Raw genomic sequence first — 19,867 nt, forward strand, 5'->3', positions numbered from 1 at the left:
AGTGGGTTGCTTTCAAAAGGGTTACATAATTGAGCAACTCTAAAACCTTTTTTCTTCTTCCTAGGTCTTAGTGGTGCAATGGCTAGTATAAGCGTGCGTTCGAGTACCCCAGGCTCTCCTACACATGTAAGCAGTGGATCGAATGCTAGTCGAAGGAGAAATGGACTCCATGATGTCGATTTGAACACTTTCATATCAGAAGAAATGGCACTCCACTTGGACAATGGTGGAACTAGAAAGCGTACCTCAGCCCAGTGTGGCGATGTCATTACAGACTCACCAACCCATAAACGCAACAGAATGATCTAAACTGCAAACATTTTCACACCCACCATGCTGCTTGAAAGCCACTTGATCCTCAACATATACTATAATTGCAAAGGAAACATGAGGCCATCTTCCCTTGTTCACTGTTTAAGACAAGTGAATTCTATAGTGGTTGCCATAAAAGGAAGTTCTAGGTATTTATAGTAGATGCCTCTTGTAATTATGGCTTTCTTAAAACTATAATCCTAGCAGAGGACATCAGATATTGTGTAGTCGTTAGCAAGATCATCATAGGCAAACATATATCCGTTCCAAGGCTAAAAGTGACCTTAACTGTATTTATTCTCAAAGGGAAAGGAAATATCAGATGTTTATTTGGTTATAGAATGCTTTTTTTTTTTTTGGGTCCATTTCCTGCTGTGTTGAGTATTTTGCTTCAACAGTATTGCCAGGTTCCTAAAATTGTCTAAAAACATGATTTGGCTTCCATTTTTGCAGCTGCACTGTACCATGCACCTGGTTTCTATATAGTAACAGTGTGCAATTCTAATTATTGGACTGTGCCCTGTTTTTAGTTTTCAAATCAATTTCTAATTCTGGTGATTGTGTGATGTAAAGAGGTGCTATGATGGTCATGCAATTAATACTAAATATTGAATCAATGCCCAGAGCTTTATTGGATTCACTTTGTGTGTGTTAGTGCTCTAAAGTAGCAGTATTATTATTAAACTGTCCCCAGAGTAACCCTGTAGGCCTAAAGTACTCAGTTTTAAGACAAACACTACTTCCCATGCGGGGTACTTTCCTTATGGTAAATGTAAACATGTAGACTGCATTCGAGGTGACCTAAAGTAGAGAGGTCATGAACTTTGAGAATGGGCTTCCTTTTTGGTTCAGTATTAGTGAGAGGGAGAGGGAGATGGATGGTGGGGTAGGTTTTCTAGTCTATCATTTTACATTTTTCATGGAGTCCCTGCTTAGTGCAGTTTCCATTGGAATGGGTGGAAGATGATAAAGCTCTCTTTTTTATCTACTAATAATGTGATTGCAACTTAAAATAGCAAAACCCAACTCTCCCTGTCCCTCCAATCCCTCTCCTAAAAAGTTCAGTTTGGAATCTCATTCTGGAAAAGATGGAATCGCATGGAGATTCTCTAGCTGTTAGGTAGACCTAAATAAAAAGTTCTCAATAGATTCCTCTTTTGAGTAAATATAAGACCTCTTGTAGCTACAATGTTTTAGAGCATGTTTCATCTTCATTTTTAATATCCTGAACTGAATGATAGTGTTTTTTTAGATGAAGAACTGATGTCAGCCTGCCAGGTACTGTAATTTATTCTATCATATTATTATATTATATATCAAGTAGGACAGTGAAAAATGTTTCCTTGCAAACTTGTAGTCCAGTATCAGTTACTTCCTATTTTTATCCTTAAAAGACCATTGCAAATCAGTGTAAGGGTTTTTCCAGTAATTACTCACAGCACTTTGTTAAAGTTTGCAATTTCTTCAGCCATTTAATAATATCTTTCTGTGAAGAAACTTTGCTGAGTTAACCATAAATGTTCATTCATTGACTGGGTGGGATGTGAATGGAATGTTAGAAATGTTGTGTGAATTGAAGTTCTGTATTCATTATAGATGTAGCCCTTATTTAAAAAAGTGAATTCCATACTAAAACTAGGAATGAAAGTGAGAGATTTCTAAACTTTTGCGAAAGTGGGTCATTTTTTGTTTGACTATAATAGCAGGAAGAATTATAGCAATCTGTCATTTTACCTGAAACAGACAAGCCTATGTATTATGAATACTTTCAAGCTTCCCTTTGGAATATACAAGACATGCGTTTGGAGTTACCTTTGTTTTTCTATCGTAAATTTAGATTCTGGAATTGGGGTTTGGTGGTGCAATGTGTTGCTCACAAGTGGCCAGAACTCCTATTCCTAAAAGGATTTTGAGATGGAGGAACACATATTTAATTCCCCTTTATGCCTTGGTTCTTGCTCCTCTTTCCACGTTGGATAACAATTTTTTGGTTGTTTTGTTTAAGTTGGTGCTCTGAAGCTTAATCTCAGTACCCTTTACTCTGAATTGTCAAATTTTGATAAAACGTGCCATTTTCTTTGGTAAGAGAAAGCAGGTCTTAATGTCTGCCAGAACACAATTTATATGCCTTATTGGCTTCATTAAACTTTTAGAAAACTTTAGCATTTGTTACTTTTTTCCATTGCGTTTACTTTCAAATGCACCTAATGAATTTGTCACCCAGTCGCAACTTTTCCCTTCTCTGTCCCATTGCTTTCTCCTTTCCCCGACGCACAGAATAAACATGAAGCTCAGCAGTAGAAGCGTAATGATTTCCCTCAGGAAAAACTTCTGACAGCTAGGTTTTTCAAGGGTTTCCCTGTGCTAGCTGAGATGCAAAACAAATCATGGAAGATTGCATACCTGTGTGGTATTTTAAAAACAAGTTGACTTTTTCAGTTTCTTGAACGGTTAAGGGTGGATTTAAAAACTAGACAGTTTAGTTTTGGGGAACAGAAGCTCTCTTCGTCTTAAGCCAGATTCTCTGATTCTTTTAGACGTCATAGCTCCTTAGTTCTGCTCCTGTCGCCCTAACTTGGCATGGGCAAGTTGAAGTTCATCCTTAGACTGCAGCGTTCTGAGCATGGCTGAAGTATTAAAATGTTTAATATTTTTTAGAGCAAAATTGTTGGAAAGCATTTGGCTGAATCTAAAGACCTGCAGTCAGATTCTTCAATGTGGTTTACCCAACTGGAGTAGTGATAAACACCTTAATCATAAAATGAATAAAAACAAAAAAACCATGGGGCTTGTCTGCAGTTTTGTTTTGGTCATCACATCTGAATAACTTTTTGATGCAATCAAATGAAGTTTAGGCTTTTAAAAAAGAATTAGCTTTCTAAATGTTTTTTTCTAAGGGCTACTGGAACTCATTAAACTCGAATAATTGTGGCTTTGGGCCTGAAGATTTCCATTCAACAGTGAAAACTGGCTAACTTCCTTTATAGTGAGAGGGATGGCCAACATCCAACCCAGAGGGCTAGTCAGCCTCAGAGGCCAGTGCAAGACGCCAAGAGATGATTTTGAAATGGGGCCATAAGTTTAGAAAATTATGAACAGAATGATTGAGTTTTTGGCCTGGCTACTACCTCTAGTGGTGACTACGTCAGCAGATTAATCTCATTGCATTTTACTTTATGTAGTATGTTGTAACCTGGTGCTTCATTCATTAGATTGGTGACTGAGGTATTTAGTCATGGTGAGGATGGGAATCTTCAGAGATACATTCTGGATTTGTGGAATAAAGTGACTAGAAAGGTTCTTCCAGAGCAACCCCTTGTTTAAAGTTATAAGTGTTTATGGTACCTGCTACCCCTTCTGGAAAGTTGTCGGCTTTGATGGTTTAGATGACCTTACCCCATAAGGCCAGCTTCTAGCCTCCCTTTGGAATATTTGAGGTGTGTGATGTTTTAGTGGGGGCAGCATTTGAGAGACGAGCAGGCCCGAGCACCCAGGCTGGCTGTCAGACCGTGTGTTGTGCTGTTGGGTTTGATGGGATGAGATATCCAGGGTTTTACTTCCTATAATGGGATCTGCAGGCTCCTTGTGAAGTTCAGTTAGACAGTAGCCTGTGACGTAGCAAGTCAAGTTTTCGATGGCCCCTCATTTTTTTTTTATTTAGTGCTTAAAAAAAAGATTTAAAACAGCAAAAATCAAGCCACACAGCAGCTTATAGTATATACAGGTCTTTTATACATTAGAAGTAATATGGTGAAATCTTTTTTTTTTTTTTTTTTTTTTGTGATGGAGTTTCACTCTCTCACCCAGGCTGGAGTGCAGTGGCACGATCTTGGCTCACCACAACCTCTGCCTCCTGGGTTCAAGCAATTTTCATGCCTCAGCCTCCCGAGTAGCTGGTATTACAGGTGCCTGCCACCACACCTGGCTATTTTTTGTATTTTTGTTAGATACGGGGTTTCAAATATGGTGAAATCTTGTGACAGAATAGTATTCCCTTGTACAGATAAGCCTTGATGCAGGTTACAGATTTTTTATAATTAGTAATGCAGCAGTGGAGTGTTTTCTTTTTCTTGTTTTTTGAGATGGAGTCTCTGTCGCTGGAGTGCGGTGGTGCGATCCCAGCTCACCGCAATCTCTGCCTCCCGGGTTCAAGCGATTCTCCTGCCTATAACTACAGGTGTGCGCCACCACGCCCAGCTAATTTAATTTTGAATTTTTAGTAGAGACGGGATTTCACCATGTTGGCCAGGCCAGTCTTGAATTCCTGACCTTAAGTGATCTGCCCGCCTTGGCCTCCCCAAGTGCTGGGATTACAGGCATGAGACACTGCGCCTGGCCTATGTTTTAAGTTTCTCTATGACAAATTTCTGTAGATGAACTATCTGGGTCAAAAAAATTCATCTATAAAATACTGATGGGTCTTGCCAAAGTACCTTCTGCAAGGTACCAGTTAATACTTCCATCAGAAAGTAAGAGCGCCTGTTCCCTTACATCGTAGCCAGTGTTGGGTATTTATACTTCCTTTGGCAGAAGTGACCTTTCAGTTTTAATCTGTTTTTTACCTGCTCGTATGAAGGAAGACTTTTTGCTTGATATCACGTGGGTTTGAATGCTGACTCTACTACCAGGTCTGGGAACCTAGGTAAGTTTGCCTCTCTGGGCTGTTTTCTCATCTGTGAAATAAATAGAAAACATAGAAAAATAAATTAAAAAATGTGAATGTTAGTGACTTGTGTTCCTTGGAAGTTGGATACATTTACATCTCCATTTATAATTCTCCCATCAGCAGAGCCCTGGAGAACTCTGGAATGTGGCTGATAGCTTATCTTAACATGCCATTGAAAAATTAGCCCTTTTTGGCTAGGCGTGGTGGCTCACGCCTGTAATCCCAGCACTGGGAGGCCAAGGCGGGCAGATCACGAGGTCACAAGAGATTGAGACCATCCTGGCCAACATGGTGAAACCCCATCTCTACTAAAAATACAAAAATTAGCTGGGCGTGGTGGTACGCACCTGTAGTCCCAGCTACTTGGGAGGCTGAGACAGGAGAATCACTTGAATCCGGGAGGTGGAGAGGTTGCGGTGAGCAAAGATTGCACCACTGCACTCCAGCCTGGCGACAGAGCAAGACTCCGTCTAAAAAAAAGAAAAAGAAAAATTAGCCCTTTCTTTTTTCTTTGAGACAGGGTTTTACTCTCTTGCCTAGGCTGGAGTGCTTTGGTGCGATCATAGCTCACTGCAGCCTCGATAGGTAACACACTAAGTGGTGAGTTTTCAGGGAAGGGGCTTGTTCACATGTAAGAGAGATTTTAATTTTTCAAACTGAAGTTGAATGCCCTCCTAGGAGATGCCACAGGCCGGCAAGTACAGGCTGCCTCACTTCACTAGTACTTAACCCTCAAGCAGGGAAGCTACTCCCCTTTAGCCCAAGTAGAGGGAGTATGGGGTGCTGGTGTGGTTGCTGTGCACGGCCGCTGTTGGGGAGGGCCGTAGCATTTGCTTGTGTTTTAGGCCTGGTGGGCGTGTTCTCTGAGTTGCTGCTGGAAGTGTTGGGGCTCTCATCACTTAGTGGAATTGCCTTTGGGAGCTTCAGAAGGCCTGTGGTTTTCTGCAGCTTCAGCAACAAGGAGGGCTCAGCTGGCTGACAAGAGTTTTGTAGCTTGACCCTGGAAGAAGGGTTTGGGGGTGCCTGGGGCAGCCAGCTACCACTGGGCTGCTTTTGGCACCGGTGGGTCCAGTGGGCTCAACACTCAGAACTATTTGCTTGTGGACTCATAATCTGAATGCCCTCTATAAACCCACCAAGGTATGTGCCACTATAACTTAGAGCTTTAAGGAAGGATTCTAAGACCATTCATACCTCTTCCTCAGGAGTGGCGGTGCCAGGGCTGAAGTTCCCTGGGGAAAAGGGGATCACCTGCTAAACTGTCCTTGAGTGTAGTGGGCAGGAGCTTAATCACTCCCAAACTCTTTTCCCCATGGTGAGTCTCAAGATCACCATGGCCATGTTGATTTCAAGGTGTATGTAGAAATTTGTAACTACCAAGAAGTTCTTATTTGCTGTTTGGGGTCTCTTAGGTTAATGTGAATGTTGTATAGAACTGTGTTTGCGTACACAATTGCATTGGGCACAGGAAGGCTCGCCTCTTGCCCATCCTCAGTGTTTCTCAGACATACTGGACTATGATCTGTGGTAAGAAATACCTCTCCCATCAAGATCTTTTACCCAGCCACACCTTTTGTGAATGAACACACAGAACTGATGAAACAGGTCTCAGCAGTTCTTAGCTTTTTATGTCAAATGCACTTTATAGCTTCTTGCTGTTTCACTGAACAGGATGTTGTATGTGACCAACTGTGTTGATTTCACAGCCAGCTTGAAAACCTGGGCTCTCTGGACCTCAGCATGCAGCACAGGGTAGGTATAGACATTTCTTGAATGAGTTCATAAAAGGTGGCTTGAAGTTTTCTAGGTTTTCACAAGGAACTCCCTATTTTTCCTCTTCCTGGGCCTTAGGTCTGTCAAGAACTAGGGTGGTGGTGAAGAGAAGGACTTTGGGGTCAGTAGGGTGTAGGTGACAGTCCCACTGGCGGCCTGCCTCCCGGGCCCCTCCCTCAAGGTTATGGTGTGGAGGATGCCTAGCACCATGCCTGGTGCGAAGTGAGGACTCAGATGTTAGCCTTTAAATGTGCTTGTCGTGGCATGGCTGGATAAGATTCCCTTCTCAGAGTCCGAGGGCTCGCTTCTGGGTTCTGCACTGGCCTCCAGCCTCAGTTTCCCCCGTCTCCTCTTTGCTCTCTAGTTTTGTGTTTCTCATCCTTCCTTCATGTTAGAATCTGCCACTGGGCATGTGGTACCCCAGAAGAACTAGATGGGACTCTGGGGTGGGGCCCAGGCACCAAGATTTTCCATGCTTCAGCAGAATGTACCTTTGGCACATTCCGCAGAGGGAATGTTGCTTTTGCTCCTTTGCAGATTGTTAACTGGGTGGGTGGCTAGTGGCACTGGGCTCCTTGGGGCCAGCCCTGCGGCTGAGGACAGATGGGGCTGTCAGAGGACTCAGCCCCTACTCTTGGGCCGCCTGCCACCCACCCTCAGTCCCTTGGGCTTTGGGGAAGTCAGCACAGTCAGTGCGTTCCTCTGGGCCAGGGTGTTTGACTGGCTTGGTAGGAGGAAGTTGGCACCCACAGGGCCCAGGGCGTGGTGAGTCATGGCTCACCAGGGATGACCCAGCAGGTGTGCCTTGGCGACAACTCCCTGAAGCTGGAAGCTGGTGGGGCTTTGTCTTCTGGAGGGAGGTTTAATTTACAGATTTCTGGATTCCCCACCTGGACACACATGCTGAATCCAAAGGTCTGGGTAGGACATGGTATCTCAAAAAAACAAAGCAAATTAAAGAATTAAAAATGGGTTCTGGCCAGGTGTGGTGGCTCACGCCTGTAATCACAGCACTTTGGGAGGCTGAGGCAGGTGGATCACTTGAGGTCAGGAGTTCAAGACCTGTGTCCAACATGGCAAAACCTCATCGCTACTAAAAATACAAAAAAAAAAAAAAGTTCTAAGTCCTACTACTTGTTTATCTCTTTACCTCTGTTTACACTTGGGGTTAGAACTACTTGGGGGAGGGGGGAAATGGTATAGGAAGGTACAGGTGAAGTCTTCTGGAGGGTCTCCTGCTCCCAGATGTCACCTGCAGGTGAGCCTGGAGTCGCCGCAGCCTCTTGCAACTACGAGGGAAGCTGGACCAAGGTCAAGGCAGTTGGATGCGGCAGAAAGTGAAAAGACCCTTGATCCTCGAGCAGTATGTCAGCCATCCTATTAATTGGAATCCTGTGATGTGCAGCAGCTTTCTGCCCGTATTCCTATAGACCCCAAATCTACCCACCTGGCCAGGAGCTACTGGTGATAACGTTACAAAATACCTGTCTGGGGAGTATACCGTATTCCTAGAAAACCATATACCAAACGGGTCTTATACACACCACTTCTTTCCCTGTTCAAGTAGATGGGAGCCTTGTTACCAGTCTATGCAGAACTACATCTTTTGTTATGTAAAGGATATTGCAGTGAAAAAGCTAAGGATTACCGAGTGCTTAATGCCTTTGCCAACCCCATCGGGCAGGTTCTGATATCTCCATTCACGCGATGAGACGGTCTGTGTGACCCAACGGCGCCCCTACGTGGCCCCAGGCTGGATACTGATTGGACCCCTGCCTTGTGCCCTGGGGACACCCAGCAGACCCTTGGGAAGCCCTCACAGGCTGTGATGGCAGCTGTGCCCTGAGCTTCCAGGTGCAGCCTGCCTGTTGGTTCAAAGGCTGTGTCACTAGCCCATCTTGGCAAGTTCTTTAGCTACTCTGCCTTGGTTTCCGCATCCATAAAGAGGATGATAAGGTTGTGAGGATGAAATGAGGTGTTTCCTAAAACACTTCAGAAGGGTACCTGGCACTCGACAAGTTTTTAATCCTGGCACTGTGGCCACAAGATGGCATTCTCTCTCCATTTCTCCACTGGTGACTTGGAGCAGTTGGGCAATTGTGAACCATCCCGAGATGAGAAGAGGTCATTCCCAGGTGAGAAGAGGGGCTCTGGAGGAGGAGGGGGTTCACTGAGGTCGGCAGGAAGCTTGGTGGACAGTCACCAGGAATGGCCTAGGTGATACTCATTCCTTGGCTCGTCACAGACCCAGCTGAAAGGAACTGTTTCTGCACTGTTGTCAACCTTAACCCACGCGCAGAACGACAGGGTGGGCTCTTGCGAAGCTGTTGTGACCTGACATCGGGACACTGATGCAGCCCAGTGCAATCCCATGTTAAACCAACTTGCCCAGCTTGGCTTCTGGAGCCTTCACTGGGCCTTTGCGCCAGCTGCTGAAGCCTGGGCAGCCGGCACGTCCCGAGGACGTGGTTGCTGTCCTTGCATAGGCTGCTGGGGGAGCCGACTGGGATGGGGGTGGAGTATTTCCAAGCCCCGGGTGGCTGAGATGGGCCTTCTGAGCCTGGGGAGGGCCAGGGCTCTCAGTGGGTCCAGCAATTGAGATTTCCCTTCCTTCTGAGGTGTGACCTAGCAGGGCCTGGTCTGCCCAATGGAACCTTCTCCAGAGGCCTCCCTTGTTAACATTCACTTCAGCTGCAAGTTTGACAACTACTGTGGTTTACATCTCCCAGGACGTCCTTCTGCCCATTCTTTGGAAAGGCCATCCCCCTTATTCTGGCTCATCTGTCGTGTCCTCCCGGGCATGTCTTCACCCTCTCCTCCTGTGTGAGTCTCTGGGCCCCTTGTTTCTCATTCTGCCTTGTGATGATTTTCCTTGCTGGTTTCCTGGTGTTTTGGGTCTGCTATTGCTGTAGGGCAGGGTCTGCATGTGTGTATTCACTGTTGCCCTGGCACTGAATAGACACCAGTACGCAGTTGAATGAGGGGATTCCCAGCTTACAGATGAGAGGGCTGAGGCACTGAAAGGTCTGGGGGGTGCGCAGATCTCTCTGGCTTCTGTCCTGTCTGAAAGGTTTGGGGGGTGCGCAGATCTCGCTGGCTTCTGTCCTGTCTGAAAGGTTTGGGGGGTGCGCAGAGCTCTCTGGCTTCTGTCCTGTCTGAAAGGTTTGGGGGGTGCGCAGATCTGTCTGGCTTCTGTCCTGTCTGAAAGGTTTGGGGGGTGCGCAGATCTCGCTGGCTTCTGTCCTGTCTGAAAGGTTTGGGGGGTGGGCAGATCTGTCTGGCTTCTGTCCTGTCTGAAAGGTTTGGGGGGTGCTCAGATCTGTCTGGCTTCTGTCCTGTCTGAAAGGTTTGGGGGGTGGGCAGATCTGTCTGGCTTCTGTCCTGTCTGAAAGGTACTCATGAGCATTTCTTGTCAAGCCCAAGCTTGGGTTCAAAATCAGGAGGGGATTGGGGAGTGTGGGCTGGTAGGAACTTGGGCAGATAACTTAATCTGAGCCTCAGTTTTCTCATCTGTGAAGGTGGGCGTGACAAAGCTAACTCACAGGACTGCGAGCACATCAAACATTTGGTTGGTTCTTAGTGTGCTTTCAACAACCTCTTTTTTTTTTTGAGACAAAGTCTCACTGTTGCCCAGGCTGGAGTGCACTGGCATAATCTCAGCTCACTGCAACCTCTGCCTCCTGGGCACAAGCGATTCTCCTGCCTCAGCCCTCCAAGTAGGTGGGATTACAGGTGACGGGTGTGCCCCACCACACCCAGCTAATTTTTATTTAGCAGGCTGGAGTGCAGTGGTGCGATCTCAGTTCACTGCAACCTCCGCCTCCTGGGTTCAAGCGATTCTCCTACCTCAGCCTCCAGAGTAGCTGGGATTATAGGTGCACGCCACCACGCCCATCTGATTTTTTTTTTTTTTTGTATTTTTAGTAGAGATGGGGTTTCACCATGTTGGCCAGGCTGGTCTCGAACTCCTGACCTCGGGTGATCCACCCACCTTGGCCTCCCAAAATGCTGGGATTACAGATGTGAGCCACTGCACCTGGCCCTAATTTTTGTATTTTTTAGTAGAGACGGGGTTTCACCGTGTTGGCCAGGCTGGTCTTGAACTCCTGACCTCAGGTGATCCACCTGCCTTGGCCTCCCAAAGTGCTGGGATTACAGGTGTGAGCCACCGTGCCTGGCCAACAACCTCTTGTTTTAAGGGCCTGGCTTTGCCCGGTCAGTGACCCAAAGATGCCCGTGAAAGCTGTTTGACCCTGGTTGACTCAGATGAACCTGGGCTGAGTTAGAGACCTTCCCCTCAGTCACACACCATTCAATGATGTCAGCAAATGCTGAAATAATCTTTCCCCACCCACAGAGCCATGCACCTACAAAGGCCTGACCCCCACGGGGGCATCTGAGGTCAGCCTCGAGCCCCCTAAGGCTGGGAACCCTGTATTTTCCTGTGGTGACTCACTTCCTGTTGGGGCCTTGGTTTTTGAAAGACAGAAACAGCTCAGAGTCTGCTCCATGGAAATGGCTGGGCCTGCCCACCAGACCCTTAAAGCGACAGTTTTCCCACGGCAGGGCTTGTCCTGGGAGGTCCCTGGTGGCGAATGGGGTGCTGACAAACGGGCCCAGAACTTCTTGAGTCAGGATTTGAAGCGAGGGGGGTCTGCTGCCAGATTCCACAGCTCAGACACGTCCTCTTTTCCCCACCCGGATTTTCAGTTCCCCTGAGGAACCACCTCTCCGTCTCCGAGTGCCCAGTCTGGTTCACTGAGCCATTTGTGCCCAGAAGGACCTGTAGTGCTGGGCATTTACTTGCTAACCTTGTTTAACTCACTGCCCTGTCTGGGCTCCGCTGCCTTTTGTCTCAAACTGGGTGATAAAACCCCAAGTTAATTGTGAAAATGCATCCTGTTTGCTTGGGGTGGTGCATTCAGATGCTGGCAGCCTGAGACCACAGCGATTCGCAGAGTGCACATCTGTTTAAGGACACTTGAACCTGTGTATTTAAAAACAGACCAGGTTGACCCACCAAGCACATCTGTGGACAGGGCTGTCTTTGGCTTCTCTTGGGTCAGGACACCTGGGAAAATGGGCAGGTACGCTTCCATGCTCCTTCGGAAACAGCTCTCTGGGCCTCACTATCCCCATCTCTAAAATGGGCTCCCTCGCCTGTCCTGGATCTGGGGTTCTGGGCTGGAATGCTCAGGAATCAGTGAACTGTACTCGCAGGTGCTTATTCTCTGGGTTTAGAACCTGCTCCCCCCGCCCCAAACATCTTCCCGTTTCCACACTACCAGGTGGGGTCCTGGTGGTGCCCTGGGCCTGCCCTTCGGGGCTCTGTTCTATAGGACCCTAGGGCTCTTGGTTGTGGCTGTAATCCTGTTATCCTTTGGCAGCAGACAAATCTATGGCTGTGTGCAAAGCAGGCTCTAGCTTCTCTGTAGGCAGGAGAGTGGGGACAAGACAAACTGGAAGTCCACCAATCCTGCAAGAATTCATGAAATGCCCACAGTGGGATGCGAGGGGCCAGTCACCACAGTCGTCTTGATAAGCCCATTCCCCAGCCGGCTCCTGGGTGCTTTCCATGCACATCCCCAAGGGACGTGTTTGTGCCTGTTTTGCTGATGCTCAGAAAGGTGGAGTGATTTGTGTGAGATGTCCAGTTGCGACTCTCACTTAGGATTTTCTCTCTGTAAGGTCCAGGCCCTCTTCCCCTGTGCAACATTTCCTTACCTGATCCTATCAGAGCACAACCCTTGCTTCCGTGGAGCATGTGATCCAGGAGAATGACATGTGGGGTCACTTTTATGTGTTTAACTTGGCTTTTTATTCACTCCAGATAAACGGTGGTGGTTCCCTGTGTAAGCAGAGAGAGAGAGAATAGTTTCCTGTTGATGCTTTTTCCACTGAATTATGCCTTTTAAAAAAATTTAATTTAATTTAATTTTTTTGAGACAGTGTTGCTCTGTTGCCCAGGCTGGAGTACAGTGGTGCAATCTTGGCTCACTGCAGCCTCTGCCTCCCAGGTTCAAGTGATTCTTCTGCGTCAGCCTCTTCAGTAGCTGGGATTACAGGCGCCTGCCACCACGCCCAGCTAATTTTTGTATTTTTAGTAGAGACGGAGTTTCACCATGTTGGCCAGGATGGTCTTGAACTCCTGACCTCAGGTGATCTGCCCATGTCAGCTTTCCAGAGTGCTGGGATTACAGGCGTGAGCCACTGTGCCTGGCCTAAAATTTTAGTGTTTTTTTTTTTTTTGAGATGGAGTTTGGCTCTTATTGCCCAGGCTAGAGTGCAGTGGCGCAATTTCGGCTCACTGCAACCTCCGACTTCCGATTTCAAGCAATTCTCCTGCCTCAGCCTCCCAAGTCGCTGGGATTACAGGCGCCCGCCACCACGCCCAGCTAATTTTTTTGTATTTTTAGTAGAGACGGGGTTTTACCATGTTGGTGAGGCTGGTCTCAAACTGCTTACCTCATGATCCACCCGCCTTGGCCTCCCAAAGTGCTGGGATTACAGGCATGAGCCACTACTCCTGGCCTAAAATTTTAATTAAAATTTTTTTTGAGACAGGGTCTCAACTATGTTGTCCAGGCTGGCATCAAACTCCTAGATTCAAGTGATCTTGTTTCCTCAGCCTCCTGAGTAGTTGGGACTACAGGTGCACACCACTGTGGCGGGCTCCAAATTATGCTTTTTCTTTATGAGAAAAATAGAATTCTTTATTAAGGTGGCTGGTTTAGAATACTAAAGAAAATACGACAGGACTAAACAAAATAATGCCGATGCGCAGTCTCTGGAGACAGGCTGCCTGATTGAATCCTGGCCCCACCACTTACTGAGTTGTGTGACCCTAAGCAAAATGCCCCCCCACTTTTTTTTTGAGACAAGGTCTCGCTGTGTTACCTAGGCTGAAGTGCAGTAACACAATCATAACTCACTGCAGCCTCAGACTCCCAGGCTTAAGCAATCCTCCCACCTCAGCCTACCGAGCTGGGACTACAGGTGTGCATTACCAGACCCATCTAATTTATTTTTTGTAAAGATGAGGTTTCATACCCTCTTCACACCTAAGTGCTATTTCTTTGCAAATTATAGTTCTAACACAAATCCAAAGGGATTTTGGGAAACTGATCGGAAGTACTGTATTCATGTTTGGCTCAAAGAATTCACAGCTGAGAATAGCTAAATAAATTTTGAGATAAAACAGAATTAAGGTCAGGCACAGTGGCTCACACCTGTAATGGTAGCACTTTGGGAGGCCGAGTAGGGCGGATCACAAGGTCAGGAGTTTGAGACCAGCCTGGCCAATATGGTGAAACCCCGTCTTTAGTAAAAATACAAAAAATTAGCCAGGCATGGTGGTGGGCGCCTGTAATCCCAGCTACTCAGGAGGCTGAAGCAGGAGAATTGCTTGAACCTGAGAGGCCGAGGTTGCACTGAGCCAAGATCGTGCCACTGTGCTCCAGCCTGGGCAATAGAATGAGACTCCGTCTCAAAAATAAAGAGAATTAAAACATGACAAAATTGTAATAATTCAAAGTTAGGTGTCAGCACAAAGACTGAAACAGGATAGATACTCCAGAAAATGCCCTGGTTAATATAAGAAGTTGATATCTCATCAGGAAATAGCACAAAATGACAGGGAAGGGATGAGTTAATCAGTTAATGGTGTTGGGAAAACTGACTTCTTGGGGAAAAACACATTAAGTTAGAGCATCACCTCAGGTACCCGAATATATTGACATTAAAGACTTAAATGCAAAATGGAAACATTAAAAAACTGGTGGGAAGTATAGCGAGTACTTAACTTTATTTTTATTTTTTGAGAGACAGGGTCTACTTTGTCACCCATGGTGAAGTGGAGTAGTGTGATTGTGGCTCACTGCAGCCTCAACCTCCCAGGCCCAATTGATCTTCCAGCCTCAGCTTTCCAAGTAGTTGGGACTAAAGGTGTGCACCACCACACCCAGCTAATTAAAAAATTTTTTTCTTTTCTTTTTTTTTTTTTGTAGAGACAGAGTCTCGCTATGTTGCTCAGGAAGGTCTCTAACTCCTGGGCTCCAGTGATCCTCCGCCTCTGCCACCCAAAGTGCTGGGATTATAGGTGTGAGCCACTGCACCCAGCCTGAATATTTTTTATAAACATAAAGGCAATGGAAAATATATTTTAAAATAAAAGATTGATTATGAGCATAAATGTAAGCTTTTGTTTATCATCAATATAAAAAATATTGAAAATGGAACTGGCAAACAGGACAAATTTAATCCCTCCCACCCACAGAGTTCCTATATGTGGATAAGAAGGTTATATGCCAAATAAGAAAAATAGGGGGCCGGGCGTGGTGGTGCACACCTGTAATCTCAGCACTTTGGAAGGCTGAGGTGGGCGGATCACAAGGACAGCACATCGAGATCATCCTGGCTAAGATGGTGAAACCCCATCTTTACTAAAAGTATAAAAAATTAGCCGGGTGTGGTAGCATGTGCCTGTAGTCCCAGCTACTCAGGAGGCTGAGGCAGGAGAATCACTTGAACCTGGGAGGCAGAAGTCGCAGTGAGCCAAGATCGCACCACTGCACTCCAGCCTGGGCCACAGAGTGAGACTCTGTCTCCAAAAAAAAAAAGAAAAAAGAAAAAAAGAAAAATAAAAGATAGGACCAGGGAGTTTTCAGAATCAGAAATAAAAATTACCAACTGATATATGAAAAAAATGGCTCAACATTATTTTGTGAGATTCAAATTTTTAGAAGTTGCCAGGCGTGGAGGCTTATGCCAATAATCCCAGCACTTTAGTAGGCTGAAGTGGGTGAATCACTTGAGGCCAGGAGTTCGAGACCAGCCTGGCCAACCTGGTGAAACCCTGTGTTTACTAAAAATACAAAAATTAGCCAGGCGTGGTGGTGGGCGCCTGTAATCCCAGGTACTCGGGAGGCTGAGGCAGGAGAATCATTTGAACCCGGGAGGCGGAGGTTGCAGTGAACTGAGATCGAGCCACTGCACTCCAGCCTGGGTGACAGAGCAAGACTGTCTCAAAAATGGAAATGGAAAAGGAAAAACAAAAAAAAGTGATACTGTGTTTTGAATACAGTTTTGAAAAGATAAGTGGCTATTACTTGGGGTTGGGAAGTCTGAGATGACGTGCCCGCTCACATGCTGCTGCTGAGAGGTGCTAAAACATTCTGAAAAATAAGTTGGCTGGGCCTGACACAGTGGCTCACGCCTTAATCCCAGCACTTTGGGAGGCCGAGTCGGGCAGATCACTCGAGGCAAGGAGTTCGAGACCAGCCTGGCCAACATGGTGAAACCCTGTCTCTACTTAAAAAAAAAAAAAAAAAAAAAATTAGTTGGGCCCAGTGGCGTGTGCCTGTAATCCCAGCTACTCAGGTGGCTGAGGCATGAGAATTGCTTGAACCTGGGAGGCAGAGGTTGCTGGGAGCGGAGATCACGGCACTGCACTGTAGCCTGGGCAACAGAGCGAGACTGTCTCAAAACAAAAAAAGTTGGCTGTATCTATTAAGATCTTCAAAAGTGGTCCTAATTTTGGGTTTTATAATCCTGTTTCTAAACATATATTCAGAGGTAATAACAGTTGTAAAAGAGAATTTTCTTTTTCTTTCTTTTTTTTTTTGAGACGGAGTTTCACTTTTGTTGCCCAGGCTGGAGTGCAATGGCGTGATCTCGGTTCACCACAGCCTCCGCCTGCTACCACGCCCAGCTAGTTTTTGTATTTTTAGTAGAGACGGAGTTTCACCATGTTGGCCAGGATAGTCTTGAACTCCTGACCTCAGGTGATCCACCCGCCTCAGCCTCCCAAAGTGCTGGTATTACAGGCGTGAGCCACCGTGCCCAGCCTTAAAAGAGGATTCTTTTTTTTTTTTTTTTTTTTTTGGGAGACAGAGTCTCCCTCTTGTTGCACAGGCTGGAGTGCAATGGCTTGATCTCGGCTCACTGCAACCTCCACCTCCTGGGTTCAAGTTATTTTCCTGCCTCAGCCTCCTGAGTGGCTGGGATTACAGGCATGTGCCACCATGCCTGGCTAATTTTGTATTTTTAGTAGAGGGGGGGGTTTCTCCATGTTGGCCAGATTGGTCTTGAACTTCCGACCTCAGTTGAATCCCCCGCCTTGGCCTCCCAAAGTGCTGGGATTACAGGCGGGAGCCACTGTGCCTGGCCAAAAGAGGATTCTGATGCAACAATATGAAGTGTGGTACTTGGAGTGGAAGACAGTGAGGAATAACCTAAAGCCCTAATAATAGCGACTGGTTCATCACATCTTATTAGTTTCATTAGATGGAAAATTATGAAGCCTTTATAAAGCATACTTTTTTTTTTTTTTTGAGATGGAGTCTCCCTCCGTTGCCCAGGCTGGAGTACAGTGGCGCGATCTTGGCTCACCGCAACCTCCACCTCCCGGGTTCAAGCAATTCTTCTGCCTCAGCCTCCTGAGTAGCTGGGATTACAGGTGTGCACCACCATGCCTAGCTAATTTTTTTTTTTTTTTTTTTTTTGTATTTTTGGTAGAGACAGGGTTTCACCATATTGGCCAGGCTGGTCTCGAACTCCTGACCTTGTGATCTGCCTGCCTCATCCTCCCAAAGTGCTGGAATTACAGGCGTGAGACACCGTGCCTGGCCTAAAGCATACTCTTGAATTTTTTTTTTTTTTATGAGCCAGGGTCTCATTCTGTCACCCAGGTTGGAGTGCAATGGTCCAATCTTGAGGCTCAGTGCAACCTCAACCTCCTAGGCTCACGTGACCCTCACCTCAGCCTACTGAGTAGCTGGGAGTTACAGGCAGGCACCACCATGCCTGGCTAATTTTTTGTGTTTTTAGTAGAGATGTGGTTTTGCTGTGTTGCCCAGGTTGGTCTTGAACTCCTGGGCTCAGGCAATTTGCCTGCCTCACCCTCCCAGAGTGCTAGGATTACAGGTGTGAGCCACTAAGCCCAGACTTTTTTTTTTTTTTTTTAGACAAGATTGCTCCCTGTCACCTAGCCTGGGGTGCAGTGGAATGATCAGGACTCACTTCAGCCTCCATCTTCTGGGCTCAGGCAATCCTCCTGCCTCAGCCTCCTAAGTAGCTGGGACCGCAGAGGTGCCCCGCCATGCCCAGCTAATTAAAAAAAAAATTTTTTTTTTTTGGTAGAGATGGGGGTCTCCCTATGTTGTCCAGCCTGGTCTTGGACTCCTAGGCTCAAGCAATCCTCGCACCTCGGCCTCCAAAAGTGCTGGGATTACAGACATAAGCCACCTCGCCTGGCCTTGAAAAATATTTCAAGACATGGAAAAATGCTTGTAATATCATGAGAAATATAAACAGGATGATCTCAATTTGGCCAGAGAACAGTGGCTGGCAGCAAATTTTCAATAATTGTTAGCTACTATCATTAATAATTCAAACTCTCATATGATCTTCCTCCCTCCCTTCCATTCACTTCTCAGTTGACAAGTGTCTGAGCATCCGGGGTTCCAGCCTGGCTGCACCTGTCTGTGAGCCGGTTGGGGCCAGTTGTGGGGGCTTTGGCCCCTGGGCTTTCCTCACCCTCCCATGTGCAGCCTCAGGACTCAACAGCCTCCCGCATCCACCCGCTCTGGCTCTATTTCTGGCTGGGCACTGCCATCTAGAGGCTCCTGGAGCACAGGGCACATGACCCTTGGAGCCCCTCACCCAGTGCTGAGCTCCAGCCCCAGGGGCAGAGAAGCCTTTCTCATTACTGCACCCTCCATGCCTGAAAGGGCCGTTTGTTTTGTGGAAGCCTCTGAGAATGTCAGTGCTACAAAGACACTTCAAGATGCCTTATGCTGATTCTTAGGTAGGTCAAGGAAATCTTTGGGGTAACATTCTTAAAATATGGTCCTTGGACCTGCATCCGACGTCCAAGGTAGGAGACAGTTAGTGATAAAGATTTCAGAGCCTATCCCAAATGCGCAAGTCAGACCGTGCTGGGGGGTGAAGGGTACTGAATATCTAACTATTTACAGACTCTCCCGTGTTGTTCTTATTATTTTGAGACAGAGTCTCACTTTGTCTCCCAGGCTGGAGTGCAGTGGTGTGATCTCGGCTCACTGCAACCTCCGCCTCCCAGGTTCAAGCGATTCTCCTGCCTCAGCCTCCCCAGTAGCTGGGATTACAGGCACCTGCCACCACGCCTGGCTAGTTTTTGTATTTTTAGTAGAGATGGGGTTACGTCATGTTGGCCAGGCTGGTCTTGAACTCCTGACCTCAAGTGACCCACCTGCCTCAGCCTCCCAAAGTTCTGGGATTATAGGTGTGAGCCACCGCCCCCGACCTTTTCCCAGGTTATTCCGATGCACACTGAAGTTTGAAAATGATTGACCTGGACCCGGGATACTTATGATTTGGTGGTGATGGGCTTGGCATAGACCCTTTGAGAATCTGCTGACAACTGCAGACCCTCTCCCTGGAAGAATACACAGACATTTCAGTAGGTTTCTTGACTGTGAAGCTCACTCCTGTATCGATGGACTGAGGTTACGAATCTCTTCTCTGATTTAACCCAAAGTTTAGATGAGGACACTGCGGATCAAGTATTCATTGACCTCTTATCACCGGCCAGGCTCTGTGCCCTGCCGCAACAGACAGGATGTGGCTTCTGCTCTGTGCAGTTTACAGGCTAATGATGGCAGACAGCTAAATACAGGTGTTAGGAACAGCCCTGCCAAAGGTCCTGGGTCAGTGACCAGAAGGAAGTGCCTGGAGCCCCTGGGGAAGCCGGAGGGGAGTGGATGATGAAGCGGAGGGAGGAGCAGGCAGGGCTCAGACCATGCAAGACAGGACAGGTCAGGATAAAGAGCTCAGATTTCATTTTAAGAACGATGAAAAGCTATCAGACAACTTTGGGGCTAAGTATATACCCAAGAGAATTGAAAACATATGTTCATAGAAAAATGAATGGAAAAATGTTCATAGAAGTATTTTTCATATTAGCCCCAAAGTGGAATAATCCATGTATTCACCAGTGAATGAGTGGATAACAAAAGTGGCCTATCCATATAATGGAATATTATTTAGTTATAAAAAGGAATGAAGTACTGACACGTGCTACAACATAGAGGAGGCTTGAAGAGGTTATGTGGTGGTTTTTTGTTTTTGAGATGGAGC

At 46.6% G+C, this 19,867-nt stretch overlaps 1 protein-coding gene across 1 annotated transcript in view, besides 8 other annotated features; it reads left to right on the forward strand.

Annotated features, from left to right (window-relative positions):
• HAPSTR1 (HUWE1 associated protein modifying stress responses) overlaps positions 1-5,032 on the forward strand; it is a 29,992-nt gene extending 24,960 nt beyond the window's left edge. The window contains exon 4 of the mRNA NM_014117.3: positions 65-5,032. Coding sequence (NP_054836.2) covers positions 65-309 — 245 coding nt within the window. The 3' untranslated portion in view covers positions 310-5,032. The remainder of the gene's footprint in view (positions 1-64) is intronic.
• Positions 6,886-7,401: an enhancer, noted in NCBI's record as "H3K4me1 hESC enhancer chr16:9217346-9217861 (GRCh37/hg19 assembly coordinates)". NCBI's record gives its function as "activates a minimal SCP1, AML or CMV promoter by ChIP-STARR-seq in naive H9 embryonic stem cells {active_cell/tissue: H9 hESC(naive)}" and the evidence as "EXISTENCE:reporter gene assay evidence [ECO:0000049][PMID:30033119]".
• Positions 6,886-7,603: a biological region, named in NCBI's record as "Sharpr-MPRA regulatory region 9627".
• Positions 7,309-7,603: a silencer, noted in NCBI's record as "tiled region #9627; K562 Repressive non-DNase unmatched - State 14:Gen5'". NCBI's record gives its function as "represses a minimal TATA promoter and a strong SV40 promoter by Sharpr-MPRA in K562 cells {active_cell/tissue: K562}" and the evidence as "EXISTENCE:reporter gene assay evidence [ECO:0000049][PMID:27701403]".
• Positions 10,435-11,634: an enhancer, noted in NCBI's record as "BRD4-independent group 4 enhancer chr16:9220895-9222094 (GRCh37/hg19 assembly coordinates)". NCBI's record gives its function as "activates an origin of replication core promoter dependent on BRD2, P300/CBP, MED14 and CDK7 cofactors, and independent of BRD4, by STARR-seq in HCT116 cells {active_cell/tissue: HCT116}" and the evidence as "EXISTENCE:reporter gene assay evidence [ECO:0000049][PMID:35650434]".
• Positions 11,009-11,303: an enhancer, noted in NCBI's record as "tiled regions #4742 and #14408 exact overlaps); HepG2 Activating DNase unmatched - State 5:Enh, and K562 Activating DNase matched - State 5:Enh". NCBI's record gives its function as "activates a minimal TATA promoter and a strong SV40 promoter by Sharpr-MPRA in HepG2 and K562 cells {active_cell/tissue: HepG2 | K562}" and the evidence as "EXISTENCE:reporter gene assay evidence [ECO:0000049][PMID:27701403]".
• Positions 11,284-11,393: an enhancer, noted in NCBI's record as "active region_10374". NCBI's record gives its function as "activates an Ori minimal core promoter by ATAC-STARR-seq in GM12878 lymphoblastoid cells {active_cell/tissue: GM12878}" and the evidence as "EXISTENCE:reporter gene assay evidence [ECO:0000049][PMID:35858748]".
• Positions 11,464-11,543: an enhancer, noted in NCBI's record as "active region_10375". NCBI's record gives its function as "activates an Ori minimal core promoter by ATAC-STARR-seq in GM12878 lymphoblastoid cells {active_cell/tissue: GM12878}" and the evidence as "EXISTENCE:reporter gene assay evidence [ECO:0000049][PMID:35858748]".
• Positions 16,530-16,579: a silencer, noted in NCBI's record as "silent region_7187". NCBI's record gives its function as "represses an Ori minimal core promoter by ATAC-STARR-seq in GM12878 lymphoblastoid cells {active_cell/tissue: GM12878}" and the evidence as "EXISTENCE:reporter gene assay evidence [ECO:0000049][PMID:35858748]".

Source organism: Homo sapiens, chromosome 16 (genome assembly GCF_000001405.40).
Source record: "Homo sapiens chromosome 16, GRCh38.p14 Primary Assembly".
Taxonomy (NCBI): domain Eukaryota; kingdom Metazoa; phylum Chordata; class Mammalia; order Primates; family Hominidae; genus Homo; species Homo sapiens.